This window comes from Homo sapiens, chromosome 5 (genome assembly GCF_000001405.40).
Source record: "Homo sapiens chromosome 5, GRCh38.p14 Primary Assembly".
NCBI lineage: Eukaryota > Metazoa > Chordata > Mammalia > Primates > Hominidae > Homo > Homo sapiens.
Genome location: NC_000005.10, coordinates 39233821 through 39248634, shown reverse-complemented (window position 1 = coordinate 39248634; position 14814 = coordinate 39233821). Strand labels below are relative to the sequence as shown.

Genomic DNA, 14814 nt, shown 5'->3' with positions numbered 1-14814 from the left:
GAACTCCTGACCTCAAGTGATCCCCACCTCAGCCGCCCAAAGTGCTGGGATTACAGTATTGAACCACAGCACCCGGCCAATACTTGCTGTTTTGTGATTGGCTTATTTCACTTAGCATTACGTCTTCGAGGTTTCTCCATGTTATAGCATATGTCATAATTTCTGACCCCCAAAGTGCTGGCACCACCAAGCCCAGCCTAAGTGTCACTTTTTCTAAGAAGCCTGTTGTCCCAGTCAAGCCCTGCCTCTCCCCACCTCAAAGAACTGGATATTCTCCATTTGTGTCCTCAGTGTGCCATCATATTACCAGGAAAACTTTTTCCACTCTTATCTGTCTCCACCAACCAGTCCCTAAAAGCATCCTTGTCTGCATTTGTCTTTGCTTAAAAAGCTCCTTATCCAGTGCCTGGCTGGTGTCAGAAGCTTAATTTATATGGTTATCAGTCAATTAGAGTAATTAATGTTATATTCAAACTTATTTTCAACATGTAAGTCCCTTTTCTTTATTTATAGTTCTTTGACAAATGAAGTCTGCTGTGGAGTGCTTCCACCTGACTCTCTCCACCCACCCAGAAAGTGGTCAAGAGTAGGGACTCCTTTAAATAGAAATAACTTTCTTCTTATTACACTTGAGTAACCAATGTGCTTGCTTTGACTCTTTCTAAACTGCTGGAGCAAATTCCTAAGACCTCAAAGAAGAGAAAGCAGATTGTCTGAAAACAAAACAAAACAAAACAAAACAAAAACAAGAAAGTAAGCCCAAAGCCAAGAAAAAAAGTTATTGCCAATGCATCAAACTTTCAATGTTTATTAGTACAAACTTTTCTAAAAGCACACTATGGTGCTGGCATATACTAGATGCTCAACAAATGTTTTGTAAGTGAAATTTGCTGAAATTAACCCTGGAATGTTTACTTCACCATGTAATATATTCAAAAATGGTGAAATGTCACAATTGACATATAAAGAAAAATGGCTATAAATATATGTATGGGGTAAAAAATATCCAATATAAATAATATTTTCTAGAAGTTGCACTTGTATTCCTTTATTTGGTGAGATTTTTCTTTTTAAATTATAGTCCTTATCATTTTAGGATGTTAATCTGTTGACATGAACCCAGTTTTCTGAACTGTGCCAAAACTATGAATTTTTATTCTTCTTATGTCTAACAACCTTTGAATAAGAGCTGAAGGTAAATGGTATATTGGACTCTATTTGTGCATACGTACTAAAGATTTTATCATGTGTCAAATTATGTAGGAATAAGCTTTCCATATATACCCCGTATGTTACAATTTAAAATACTATTCATCATGCAAAGCCAAGTAAAGATATACAAAATAGAAAATCTTTGAAACATTTCAAAACTTAGTATCTGGGAACTATAATCCATTAGGCAAGAAAATGACCTACTTTGCCAGTCACCCTTCTGAGGACTATTTAAATTTTAAGGCTTATTTTGCTCAGTTGAAAGGAGAGAAAGAAAAGCTATTCATTTGACAAATGGTATATAGTCATATATATATATATATATATATATATATATATATATATATATATGAACACGCATTTTGTGTGTGCACCATTATCTTATGGGCTTTACACATATTAACATAATCCTACAAGATAGGTACTATTGTCAACATTATTCCCATTTTCAGATGACATAATTGAGGCACAAAGAAGTAACTTGCTTGAGGTCTCACAGTAAGGGCAGAGTTGAAGTCCAAACCCAGGCAGCCTGGCTCCAAAGCCCAGGCTCTAACCCTCTGTATTATTCTGCCTTGAGTAGATGATGCTGTTTCCATTCTGCTCCTCACCATGTCTTTGTCATGTGACTCTGTAACATAAACATCTTTTCCTTTCAGTTTACATGGATCTATCACATCTTTTTAATAGCCAAATAAGATTCCCTTATCTAGGTATACTACACATTGTCTAACCTGGACTTGTTCTCTACCTGTGGACTTTTAATTTTCACTCTTCCACTATAAAAGTCACTTTCAACTCTCAGAACTATTACCTGTGAGACATAAGAGAGGGAACCCTGTGAAACCAGTGTATGGACAGTATTAACTTGGAGCTTTCATGGCAGGAAATATTTTCACTTTGCCTGGGAAAAAGTTGTGATAGAAGCTAAGAACATTTAGGATGCTGTTAAGGGAAAATTAACTAATCATGCCAAATTATCCTTATGACAGGAGCAGAATTGGTTGGCAATAACTCCAAGCTGAATTGACACCATACAGTATTATATTCATTATATAATATATGCCCATCATGTTTGTTGGTTAGCATACAAGAGAAAACATAGATCTTACACTTGAGCTTTAAACATCTACAATTTTATGGGTTAGTGGACAGATGGATGAAGTCATAGAACAACTCTGAGGTTAGGGTCTCTCTTTGCCACAGGGTCCCCTATCTGGTGGGCTCTAAGCTTCCCCTACTTCCTTAGGGTTTTCTCACTTTTCATCCTCATGCCACTGGTCCACCCCAAACAGAGGTACCTACTTCACTTATTCTCTCTAGATTAGGCATGGACAAAACAAAGCAGAAAGAAAAAAGCAGACTTTCTTTTTCCTCTTGGAACAACAGAGTTGCTGCAAAATTTCTAAATAAAAACAAAGTAGAAGTAGACATCCCTTCTGTCTTATAATGAAGACTGCTTTAAAGAAAGATCTATAATGGACAATAATACTGCTCACCAAGCTGTACAAAAGCCTGTTCCAGGCCAGACGCAGTGGCTCATGCCTGTAATCCCACCACTTTGGGAGACCAAGGCAGGTGAATCACCTGAAGTCAGGAGTTCGAGACCAGCCTGGCCGACATGGCGAAACCCGCGTCTCTACTAAAAATACAAAAACTAGCTGGTTGTAGTGGCGGGCACCTGTAATCCCAGCTACTCAGGAGGCTGAGGCAGTAGAATCACTTGAACCCGGGAGGTGGAGGTTGCAGTGAGCAGAGATCATATCACTGCACTCCAGCCTGGGCAACAAGAATGACATTCCGTCTCAAAAAAAAAAAAAGCCTCTTCCTCTTCCTTCTCATCTTGTCTGGACATCCAACCCAGAAATCCTCTGCTCTTGGATATCCCTTAATAGAACCCGCTTCTCTGCCCTCTCAATCTCAGGGACTGTCAGGACCATGTGAAACAATAGTGAATTCTCAGCTAGAACCCATTCAAAAGCTCAGAAGAATAACCCATCTAACCAATTGTTATGTTATTCTCCATTCTGTCTCAGGAAAGACTAATCAGTTATATTCTCTATTCCTTCCACCTCAGACTGCAAAAGATGCACACACACCCACACAAACATTACAAATATTTATTAACTACCTGCTAAGTCCAGAGATTTATAGGTATTTTGACCCTATATCTCATTTTGCATTAGGAAAATATGATTGCTATACAGATAAGAAAAGTATCTCTCTCTCTTTCTTTTTCTCTTATACCACTCCCTCCTACACACACACTTTTTTTTAATTGCAGTACAACAGACACATAACTCATGATTAATTCTGGATTCTAGCATTTGACAACTTTAAGAAAATTGTTTAAAAAATTGATAGACCGCTAGCAAGACTAATAAAGAAGAAAAGAGAAAATAATCAAATAGAAACAATAAAAAATGATAAAGGGGATATCACCACCGATCCCACAGAAATACAAACTACCATCAGATAATACTATAATCACCTCTATGCAAATAAACTAGAAAACCTAGAAGAAATGGATAAATACCTCGACACATACACCCTCCCAAGACTAAACCAGGAAGAAGTTGAATCTCTGAATACACCAATAACAGGCTCTGAAATTGAGGCAATAATTAATAGCCTACCAACCAAAAAAAGTCCAGGACCAGACGGATTCACAGCCGAATTCTACCAGAGGTACAAGGAGGAGCTGGTACCATTCCTTCTGAAACTATTCCAATCAATAGAAAAAGAGGCAATCCTCCCTAAGTCATTTTATGAAGCCAGAATCATACTGATACCAAAGCCTGGCAGAGACACAACAAAAAAAGAGAATTTTAGACCAATATCCCCGATGAGCATTGATGCAAAAATCCTCAATAAAATACTGGCAAACCAAATCCAGCAGCACATCAAAAAGCTTATCCACCACGATCAAGTGGCCTTCATCCCTGGGATGCAAGGCTGGTTCAACATACGAAAATCAATAAACATAATCCAGCATACAAACAGAACCAAAGACAAAAAACATGATTATCTCAATAGACGCAGAAAAGGCCTTTGACAAAATTCAACAGTCCTTCATGCTGAAAACTCTCTATAAATAAGGTATTGATGGGACGTACCTCAAAACAATACGGGCTATTTATGACAAACCCACAGCCAATATCATACCGAATGGGCAAAAACTGGAAGCATTCCCTTTGAAAACTGGCACAAGACAGGGATGCCCTCTCTCACCAGTCCTATTCAACATAGTGTTGGAAGTTCTGGCCAAGGCAATCAGGCAGAAGAAAGAAATAAAGGGTATTCAATTAGGAAAAGAGGAACTCAAATTGTCCCTGTTTGCAGATGACATGATTGTATATTTAGAAAACCCCATTGTCTCAGCCCAAAATCTCCTTAAGCTGATAAGCAACTTCAGCAAAGTCTCAGGATACAAAATCAGTGTGCAAAAATCACAAGCATTCTTATACACCAATAACAGACAAACAGAGAGCTAAATCATGAGTGAACTCCCATTCACAATTGCTTCAAAGAGAATAAAATACCTAGGAACCCAACTTACGGGGGATGTGAAGCACCTCTTCAAGGAGAACTACAAACCACTGCTCAACGAAATAAAAGAGGACACAAACAAATGGAAGAACATTCCATGCTCATGGATAGGAAGAATCAATATCGTGAAAATGGCCATACTGCCCAAGGTAATTTAGAGATTCAATGCCATCCCCATCCAGCTACCAATGACTTTCTTCACAGAATTGGAAAAAACTACTTTAAAGTTCATATGGAACCAAAAAAGAGCCTGCATTGCCAAGACAATCCTAAGCAAAAAGAACAAAGCTGGAGGCATCACGCCACCTGACTTCAAACTATACTACAAGGCTACAGTCACCAAAACAGCATGGTACTGGTACCAAAACAGAGATATAGACCAATGGAACAGAACAGAGCCCTCAGAAATAATACCACACATCTACAACTACCTGATCTTTGACAAAACTGACAAAAACAAGAAATGGGGAAAGCATTCCCTATTTAATAAATGGTGCTGGGAAAACTGGCTAGCCATATGTAGAAAGCTGAAACTGGATCCCTTCCTTACACCTTATACAAAAATTAATTCAAGATGGATTAAAGACTTAAATGTTAGACCTAAAACCATAAAAACCCTAGAAGAAAACCTAAGCAATACCATTCAGGACATAGGCATGGGCAAGGACTTCATGTCTAAAACACCAAAAGCAATGGCAACAAAAGCCAAAATTGACAAATGGGATCTAATTAAACTAAAGAGCTTCTGCACAGCAAAAGAAACTACCATCAGAGTGAACAGGCAACCTACAGAATGGGAGAACATATTTGCAATCTACTCATCTGACAAAGGGCTAATATCCAGAATCTACAATGAACTTAAACAAATTTACAAGAAATAAACAAACAACCCCATCAAAAAGTGGGCAAAGGATATGAACAGACACTTCTCAAAAGAAGATATTTATGCAGCCAACAGACACATGAAAAAATGCTCAGCATCACTGGCCATCAGAGAAATGCAAATCAAAACCACAATGAGATACCATCTCACTCCAGTTAGGATGGCGATCATTAAAAAGTCAGGAAACAGCAGGTGCTGGAGAGGATGTGGAGAAATAGGAACATTTTTACACTGTTGGTGGGACTGTAAACTAGTTCAAACACTCTGGATGACAGTGTGGTGATTCCTCGGGGATCTAGAACTGGAAATACCATTTGACCCAGCCATCCCATTACTGGGTATATACCCAAAGGATTATAAATCATGCTACTATAAAGACACATGCACACATATGTTTATTGTGGCACTATTCACAATAGCAAAGACTTGGAACCAACCCAAATGTCCACCAATGATAGATTGGATTAAGAAAATGTGGCACATATACACCATGGAATACTATGCAGCCATAAAAAAGGATGAGTTCATGTCCTTTGTAGGGACATGGATGAAGCTGGAAACCATCATTCTCAACAAATTATGACAATGACAAATAACCAAACACCACATGTTCTCACTCATAGGTGGGAATTGAACAATGAGAACACTTGGACACACGGTGGGGAACATCACACACTGGGGCCTGTCGTGGCGTGGGGGGAGGGGGGAGGGATAGCATTAGGAGATATACCTAATGTAAATGACAAGTTAATAGGTGCAGCACACCAACATGGCACATGTATACATATGTAACAAACCTGCACATTGTGCATATGTACCCTAGAACTTAAAGTATAATAATAAAAAAAAGAAAATTGTTAAAATAGATTGAAAAATGTTTTGAGGCTATCTAAAAGTTGGCTTTGTTTCAACTGAGAGGGAAAAAAAATAGTGATTTAACAGTTCCTGGAATGAAACATGTAAGGATTTCTGAAACCTCTCAAGGTGACTGAAAAATTTGGAGGGAATATGGCTGAAAGAAAAAGTAATGCAACATCTTTGGCCTAATAAAACTTCCTTTTCAGCTCTAATGTAAGTTTACAAGAGACTTGTACCTTAAATAACAAATTCTATGAACAAATCTTTATTAAAAAGATGCCCTCCAGGAAAAAAAAAAAAAAGAGCTTAAACTGTAACAGGAAGAATTCAGAAGAGCCTGAACCATGAGGCTCCTTTCCAATACACTGCTCTTCAAATCAGGTGGATTTCCCACTAGGAGTGGTCTGTATCATATGTAGCATTGTGCATGGCACCTCTTACGGTTGTGCAGGACACAGCCAACTCAACCATACCTGGTCTTTTGCCAGTATAGACCCATCCTTAAAAATGAGGAGAAATAAGGAAATAGGGTAGTGCCCTTGCCCACTCCCTATGTTGACTGCACTCCCCCTAATCCTTTCTACCACCTATTTATCACTCTAGGTTTTGAGGAAGGAGAGGTAGGAGGAAGGGAAAAAAGTGGAGATGCACATACACAGGAAGGTGGGGAATAAGCTGATGTGAATATGTACAGTCTCAGAATCAGGGCGTAGAACTGAAGCTTATGTCCCCCTCTACATTTTCCATGGACCAGACTCATAGGTCCTGGACACCCTGTTGTAGTGATGCCTTATTTATTTATTTATCTAACTTTTATTTTAGGTTCAGAGGTACATGGGAAGGTTTGTTACATAGGTAAACTGTGCATCACAGGGGTTTTTTGTACAGATTATTTCATCACCCAGGTGGGTAATCAGCATAGTACCCAATAGGCATTCCTTTGATCCTCTCTATCCTCTAAGCTCCTATCCTCAAGTAGGCCCTATTGTTCCCTTCTTTGAGTCCATGTGTACTGAATGTTGAGCTCCCACATAGAAGTGTAAACATGCAGTATTTGGTTTTCTGTTTCTGTGTTAGTTCACTTAGGATTATAACCTCCAGCTCCATCCAAGTTGCTCCAGAGGACATGATCTCATTCTTTTTTATGGCTGCATAGTATTCCATGGTGTATATGTACATTTTCCTTATCCAGTCTACCACTGAATGGTGTTCAGGTTGACTCTGTATCTTTGCTATTGTGAATATTGCTGTGATAAACATACACATGCATGTGTCTTTGTGGTAGAATGATTTATATTCCCTTGGGTATATACCCAATAATGGAATTGCTGAATCGAATGATACTTCTGTTTTAAGTTCTTTGAGAAATTGCCACATTGCTTTCCACATTGGCTGAACTAATTTACACATCCACCAGCACTGTGTAAATGTTCCCTTTTCTTCTCAATCTTGCCAGCATCTGTTATTTTTTGACTTTTTAATAACAGACATTTTGACTGGTGTGAGATGGTATCTCATTGCGGTCTTGATTTCATTTCTCTGATGCTTAGTATTGTTGAGCATTTTTTCATATGCTTTGTTGGCTGCATGAATGTCTTCTTTTTAGAAGTGCCTGTTCATGTCCTTTGCCCACTTTTTAATGGCATTGATTTTGGCTTGTTAAGTTGTTTAAATTCCTTGTAGATTCTTGATGTTAGACCTTTGTCAGGTGCATAGTTTGCAAACATTTTCTCCCATTCTATAGATTGTCTGTGTACTCTGTTGAGATTTTCTTTTCCTGCACAGAAGTTCTTTAGTTTAATTAGGTTCCATTTGTCAATTTTTGGTTTTATTGCAGTTGCTTTTGGCATCTTTGTCATGAAATCTTTGCCAGGGCCTATGCCCAGAATTGTATTTCCTAGGTTATCTTCCAGGGTTTTTATGGTTTTAGGTTTTACATTTAAGTTTTTAATACATACTGCCTTAACTTTTGTATATGGTATCAGGAGGGGTTCAGCTTCAATCTTCTGCATGTGGCTAGCAAGTTATCCCAGCACCATTTATGAATATGGAGTCCTTTCCTCATTGCTTGTTATATTGACTTTGCTAAAGATTAGATGGTTGTAGGTGTGCAGCTTTACTTCAGGGCTTTATATCCCATTCCATTGGTCTATGTGTCTGTTTTTGTACAGACTCAAAGGCAGAAAGTACCATGCCATTTTGGTTACTGTAGCCTTATAGTATAGTTTGAAATTGAGTAATGTGATGGCTACAGCTCTGTTCTTTATGCTTAAGATTGCTTTGGCTATTTGGGCTCTTTTTTGGTTCCATGTGAATTTTAAAATAGTTTTTCTTAATTCTGTAAACCATATCATTTATAGTTTGATAGAATTAGCATTGAACCTGCAAATTGCTTTGGACAGTATGGCCATTTTAATAATATTGATTCTTCCAATCCATGAGTATGGAATGATTTTCCATTTGTTTGTGTCATCTCTGATTTCTTTGAGCAGTGTTTTGTAAGTCTCACTGTAGAGATCTTTCCCCTCTATGGTTAGCTGTATTCCTAGGTATTTTATTCTTTTTGTGGCTATTGTGAATAGGATTGCATTCTTGATTTGGCTCTCAGCTTAGATGTTGTTGGTGTATAGAATTGCTATTAATTTTCATGCATTGATTTTGTATCCTGAAACTGCTGAAATTGTTTATCAGATCTAGGAGCTTTTGGTCAGAGACTATAGGGTTTTCTAGTTGTACAATCATATCATCTGCAAACAGAGATAGTTTGACTTCCTCTCTCCCTATTTGGATGCCTTTTATTTCTTTCTCTTGCCTGATTGCTCTGGCTAGGACTTCCAGTACTATGTTGAATAGGAGTGGTGAGAGTGAAAATACTTTTCTTGTTCTGGTTCTCAAAAGGAATGCTTCCAGCTTTTGCCCATTTAGTATGATGTTGGCTGTGGGCTGGCCATAGATGCCGCTTATTATTTTGAAGTATGTTCCTTCAATGCATAGTTTGTTGAAGGTTTTTAACATGAAGGGATGATGAATTTTATTAGAAACCTTTTCTGCATCCATTGAAATGAACATGTGGTTTTGTTTTTAGTTCTATTTGTGTAGCGAATCACACTTACTGATTTGCATATGTTGAATCAAACTTGGTGATGCCCCCTTTAGAGTGATCCACTTACACATAAGTCTCCATGAGCAAGTCAGGTGGCCAAAAAGGCACACTGGCATGTGCAGAAATACCCAGCATGTTCTCACACACAAAGAGGTTTTCACGTGTGACCATGTGACAAGGAGAAGTGGTTTAAAGCCTAGCTGTTGGAGGAAAGAAGTAAACAAACATGAAGCCTCACCCTGATACCCTCTCGGCTTTCCTTTAGGCTTAATCATCTTTCCATCTATGCTCCTTAATCTTTGTTTTGGTATTCTGGATAAGCTCCTAGACAGATTTTGTGCTGATTTGATGCTGGCTGTTGTAGAGATTGTATGCAGACACTTTGAGGGCTTGGGGCTCTTTTTTCTCTCTTCTTGCACCCACAGTAATAGTTCCCTATTTGACTACAGAGACCTCATTGTCCTCATCAACTTTTTTTCTCACATGACAGCTGCTCTTTATTGTCCCTTCTTTGGAAGGCAGGTGGGTTGGCCCACAAAAGTACTGCAAAAAAATTGATCTCACCTTAATTAAATATTTTGATATTTGCCAAGTTATAACTGGGGGATTTTTTTCCCCTAGAGTGAATTCTTTAGGAGAAACTCAAAGGAAGAAAGTAAAAAATTCACCTAAAAAAATATAATGCATTTTCTTTCTCCCACTCAGGCTTCCTTAAGATTTATCCTCACAGGAATTTTATGCACATACACGTACATACACACACACACAGATATATTATAGGATGTATATAATATATATGTACATATATATACACACATATACATGCAGAACTTCTCAATAAATATTGTTCTTTTTAATTGTAAAATACACATAACAAAATTTACCATCTTAACCATTTTTAAGGGTACAGTTCAGTGGCATAAAGTACATTCACATGGTGGTGTTCATTTGTATCTTCTCAGTTTGGGGTCAATAAACCATTCTGAATTTTGATTACATCCACCGATGTATTAGCTATTCCTCCCATACTTGTATGATTTGTAAATGTCATAATGCTTCTATATCTTTGTCTAAAGCAAGGGTGAAAATAATAGAACAGACCTAAAGAGAAAGGAGATTGAAACAGGTTCATACGAATCTATTAATCCGCATTCCCTGAGTGATGCTTTAGCCAAATACAATTGACTGATTTCCATTTTCAATGCAGATAATCTCTATCTCTAAGAAACCTCTCATTCTTGTTGCAATCTTGTTTTCCCAGCCATTTATTTGTATGAATGTTTCATATTCACAGCAACTGAAATATTCAAAACAAATTTCTCCCACTGGGTTTCTTTTCCCACCTATGCCATCATCAGTATCTCTCATTTTGTCTTGAAGTATTGTAGTCATTTTAACTCTTTTTTACTTTCAATCCTTATATCCAGTCTGGCACTAAGCACCTTAGTTCAGTGATTATCAGAAATTTTTATATTATAGCCTATGCAAGAAATGATGATATCTTATTGATTGAGTAAGCAAAAAATTCTATTTGCATCTTGGTGGGAAGTAGTTGCTTGATGAAGGTTAGAATGTTCCCCACAGCCCCCAAGGCCTTAGTGGATCAATCTCAACTCATTTATAACACCTGGACCCACAGACTGCGAAGCCCAAATTTAATTCATTCTTTCTTCAAAATATCTTTCGTATTTGCCCTTTTACTTCCATGTATGCACCTAATATCTTCAGCAAGCCGGTCATCTCATACTTAGATTATTGTAACATCCCCCTAACTGCCTTCCTTGCCTTTCGACTCGATTTATCTTTTGTGGTGCCTCTGGCTAATCTACCTAACTGTTGTTTTTGGCATGAGCCTACAATTTTTTCCAGTTACCAATGACAGTCAAACCCAAATTGTTTTGTCGGGATTTCAAGGAAAAGAGATTATTTGGGCCCAACTTACTTGTTAAATTTGCTTTCTACTATTTCCTTCATCAACCTCTGTTCAAATTAAATTCACTTACTCACTGCCTACCACCACCATAAGTACATTTCTTATATTTGTGCAACTTCCAGAAGTTCCTGGTGGCAGTAGTGAATAGTCATAACTACTTGAGTAGTCTTGTAGTCTTAAGTACCTGCTACGTGTTAGGCCTTGTGCCAGTCTTCATAGCAACCTTACATTAGCTAATATCTCTGTTTGATAGATGACAACATTGAAACTCAGGTCAAGCAATTTGGCCAAGGATAAAAACTGGCTAAGCAGCAGAGAGCTATCTCAGCCCCCTTGTCCAATGTGAGCTTAGCTTCCTCTGAATTTACAACATTTATTTCCAGTCTTTTAATTTGCTGGTTAATAACTTGCTATCTTGTGATAAACCTTTGATTGTTCCTTGTTATTCCCTGATTCTTCATTGTTATGTAGCTGTCTGCATCTTTGTCTTCATCTTTTAAACTATGATGAGAACCTTTGACTGTAAAATCTGTACCCCCTACAAATTTAGGTGTTGCTATATCTCTATGGATATGGCATCTCAATTTCTGAATTTTTTCCAAACCATTATAATTCCTCTAGCCACATGTGCAACATCACACTATCCCCCAGAAATTGGATCTACATTAATGGCCTATATTTTCTGCATTTGCTTTCACTTCTTTGCCAGAGTTATTGAATACCTTATTTTCCTATTCATAAGTTATTATATTATCAAAAACCTCAATGCCTTCTTTAGTCTATTAAAGTCCAGAACATCCAGCAGGTTTTCCAAGACATACTGGTCTCTTGAAATTAGGGATTTACTCCGATAAATTTTCTAGTGATTATTTTCATATTTATCCTTAACTTCAAAGCAAAGGAAATGGTGTGTTAATCTTCTCATTAACCCACGTTTGAGCCTTAATAAGAATTTAATATAAAGTACCTTTTAAAATCTTGTGGCACACCTAGAATTTATCTAGTATCTGAGAGGTTTAGAAAACTAAAAGATATCATAGGGTCCTGGTCCTGTACTGTCCAATACTGTAGCCACAAGCCACATGTGGCTGTTTAAATTTTAACTAACTAAAAATAAATGAAATTAATGTTTTAGTTCCTCAATTGCACAGTTCAGGTACTCAATAGTGAAATGTGGTCAGTGGCTACCATATTGGACCACACCAAAATAGAATATTTCTATCACTACAAAAGAGTCCTATTGCACAACACTGTTCTAGAAGCTTATCAACAGTTTTGTTGAGAAATATAGAAGACGTTTGATTTCATTTATGGCAGCTGATGATATATTAGCTGCAAGTTCCCATACATGTTTGATAGTTGTCGTATGTTAGACAGGTTTCATTCATCATTTATTCACTCAGTACAACACCTAGCACCAAATACTTGCTCAAAAACTGCTTAACGACTGTTTATACAATAAAAATGGCAGCTCCTATATATCTACTCAGGTGTCTAGCATCACAATACCAAAAAAAAAAAAACAAGTAAAGATTTAATTAGATTTAATTGGCAGGAAGGGAAACAAAGTAGTCTACATTTTATGAATTCTGCTGAATTCACAAAGATGCTAAATGTAAATCTGTAGCAAATTGTAGACACTCCCTCTGCCCCTGTTTGGACAACTGTGGATGACATCTGCATCAAATCAGCCAAGAGTTATTTATTTTTGAATTGTGCTCTGACCCCTTTCTAAGCCCAAAGGGTAAAAATGTCACCTTTGTTCATTTCTCAAGAAAAACATTTTTAAGATCCTGCACTGACTGTGAAAAAAAAAAAGCTGATCCTTGGGGTATTATCTGTAGTTCCCTCTTCACCTCAAGCTTTCTGACAGTCATTGTTTCTTGCCTCCATTTCTAGTTATGGTGTGAACAGGAAACAATTCCACTACCCCGCAAGCTACACTGACCTTTTTTTCTTCCAGGGAATTTAAATTGATTATTGAGTTTGTATTTATAAACTGTGTGATTTATCATTATTATTATTATTATTATTATTATTATTATTCTTTAAGTTCTTGGATACATATGCAGAAGGTGCAAGTTTGTTACATAGGTATACACGTGCCATGGTGGTTTGCTGCACCCATCAACCCATCATCTAGGTTTTAAGCCCGCATGCATTAGGTATTTGTTCTAATACTATCCCACCCCTTGCCCCCGACCCCCTGACAGGCCCTGGTGTATGATGTTCCCCTCCCTGTGTCCATGTGTTCTCGTTGTTCAACTCCCACTTATGAGTAAGAACATGTGGTGTTTGGTTTTCTGTTCCTGTTACTTTGCTGAGAATGATGGTTTCCAGCTTCATCCATGTCCCTGCAAAGGACATGAACTCATCCTTTTTAATGGCTGCATAGTATTCCATGGTGTATATGTGCCACATTTTCCTTATCCATTCTATCATTGATGGGCATTTAGGTTGGTTCCAAGTCTTTGCTATTGTAAATAGTGCTGCAATAAACATATGTGTACATGTGTCTTTATAGTAGCATGATTTATAATCCTTTGGGTAGATACCCAGTAATGGGATTGCTGGGTCAAATGGTATTTCTAATTCTAGATCCTTGAGGAATTGCCACACTGTTTTCCACAACTATGTAATTTTTAATTGCCTCTTTGTATTTCAAAGACTGAGCTCCTTGACACAATAGGACCATTTGATTAAATCTTATAATCACATTGCCTAGGACATGGGCTCCATAGGAAACAATCATAAATACTTTTATATTTATAAATTAACTAAGATTCACAAATGTGTCTCCATGCCTGGATTTAAGCATTTTAAGGATCAGTAATATTTTAATAAAAACACAAATACAATTAAAAACAAAAACAGCCTTGATGAATGACCTTTTCTCATACTCTTTATGTTTCCATGAGAAATCAGCCTTCCTGACATATGTGCTGTGGTGATGGGGCAGTGAATATGGAACTAAGTGGAAGATGCTGTTTAAAGACCTAGAAATGAGCCTGGATATCATGCATGTGGCGTTCACAGTCAGTTTACTTAAAGAGTTAGCCACAGATAACAGTAAACCCCATCTAAGCTAGAGAAAGGCCAGAGCAGTGGTTCTCAAAATGTCATCCAAAGATGCCTGGGAGTCATCAAGTCCCTTTCAGGCAACGCACAATGTCAAAACTACCTACACAATAATACTACTATGTTAACTTGTCTTTTTCATTATCACTTTCTCCTGAGTTCTCAGTGGAATTTTCTAGATACTACATAATTATCTGA

The 14814-nt window shown here is 37.5% G+C and overlaps 1 protein-coding gene across 10 annotated transcripts in view, besides 1 other annotated feature; it reads left to right on the top strand.

Annotated features, from left to right (window-relative positions):
* Positions 1 to 14814, top strand: part of FYB1 (FYN binding protein 1) — a 169277-nt gene that overhangs the window by 25894 nt on the left and 128569 nt on the right. The window lies entirely within an intron of this gene.
* Positions 6110 to 6299: a silencer, noted in NCBI's record as "fragment chr5:39242438-39242627 (GRCh37/hg19 assembly coordinates)". NCBI's record gives its function as "represses an EF-1alpha promoter that drives an FKBP-Casp9 reporter gene in an ReSE screen in K562 erythroleukemia cells {active_cell/tissue: K562}" and the evidence as "EXISTENCE:reporter gene assay evidence [ECO:0000049][PMID:32094911]".